The sequence below is a fragment of the Homo sapiens genome, chromosome 5 (genome assembly GCF_000001405.40).
Source record: "Homo sapiens chromosome 5, GRCh38.p14 Primary Assembly".
Classification (NCBI taxonomy): Eukaryota; Metazoa; Chordata; class Mammalia; order Primates; family Hominidae; genus Homo; species Homo sapiens.
Window position 1 is genome coordinate 117095316 of NC_000005.10, and position 1550 is coordinate 117096865.

A 1550-nucleotide genomic window follows, 5' to 3' on the forward strand; every position below is an offset into this window, starting at 1 on the left:
TCAGTTCCCTGTATGGCCTTAAATCTTTAAGTTGTTTCAGGGTCACAAAGGCATATAAAAGGCATTACTGTTTTCTTCTAGTGCTTTTCAAAACCTTGATCTGCATGTATATCATCGGGGGATCTTGTTAAAATGCAGATTCTAATGACTAGGTTTGCGGTGGGGCCTGAGATATCTCATTTCTAATCAGCTTCTGGGTGATGCTGCTGTTGCTATTGCTTTGCTGGCAGGACCCTGCTGGGAATGACACAAGCTCTTGGGGGTAGAAAAACTGCTAATTTATAAACCAGCCTTTCCCACATTACATGTGAAAACTTACAATCTATTTTAAGTAAATGGTTGAAAATGAAGTCCTTTCTAGATCTTCGCTTTTTATTTTGTTTTCATTGCATGTTTTGTTGTAATATTGTGTAACTTCAATCAAAATGTGTTTGAATTCCTTAGACGAGGCTTGTTATATGCCAAATCAGCTGACGGCTCGTCTCACCATTTCTGTGAGTGCCTCACATAGCATGTGTCTCACATTCTCTAATTTCACACGTTCAAAAACCTTTTTGTTGTTGTTGTTGAAACAGTTCATTCCAAAACTCTATGCAATTTTGTCTTGTCTTAGCATTTTCTCTCACAGTAAGCAAGTCCCTTGTGTCATGTATCTGGTTACCTGAAGACATTTATGGACTGTAATTATGTTCCCTGCTGAGTCTCCTTTTTTTTCTAGGCCATAAAGATTTAGTCACAATCTCCTCTTATGCTTTATACTCCTGGCCCTTGTTACATGTTTTCAGTCCTCTTTGTATTTTTATAATGGTTCCCTCTTTCCTCCCTAAATCGGGGCTGAAAAGAGTGAAGAGAAGGTTGTGTGTAATTGAGAGACTGTGCCGCTTTAGTTCTTAGAAGGAGTATTTCCCAGGGAGCTGAGACACAGCAGGAAATACAGCAGTAATTGAGGGGATAGAGCCCTGTCCTCTTGCAGCCCAGTCCCTGAGTGCTATTCATGCTGATTGCCCGTATTCCCAGAAAGCATATAGTGGATTTCTTGTACATAAAGATATTTATTTTAAGGGACTACTTCTTTAAGATTCTTTTGGATCTCAAAATCTCTTTCAGCCTATTTTGAATAATGAAGTAAGCAAACACAAGTGTCAATATTTGCAGATAGTTTACTTGTGCATATATAAAATCCGGTACAAAATGTCACATATATTAGTCAGGGATCAACCTGAGAAACAGCCAATAGGACACACACACACACACACACACACACACACACACACGCACGCACGTGCATATATATGCATATAAGAAGGAACTGCTGATACTGCTTATGTAGTTACAGGCGCTGGCAAGTCTGAAATCCATAAGGCAGGACATCAGAAAGGGCAGAATGAAACTCTCAGGCACGAACTGAAGCTGCACTCCACAGACAAAATTTCTCATTCTTCAGAGACTTCAAGAGATTTGTCACCCTTAGAGGGACAGCAGATGTGGTCTTGAATCTGGGGGAAGCAGAAAGCTTGACTGAGACCTTCATCTAGAGATGGCTCCTAGAA

The 1550-nt window shown here is 40.1% G+C and overlaps 1 annotated feature.

Annotated features, from left to right (window-relative positions):
• Positions 223 to 1153: an enhancer, noted in NCBI's record as "NANOG hESC enhancer chr5:116431234-116432164 (GRCh37/hg19 assembly coordinates)". NCBI's record gives its function as "activates a minimal SCP1, AML or CMV promoter by ChIP-STARR-seq in primed H9 embryonic stem cells {active_cell/tissue: H9 hESC(primed)}" and the evidence as "EXISTENCE:reporter gene assay evidence [ECO:0000049][PMID:30033119]".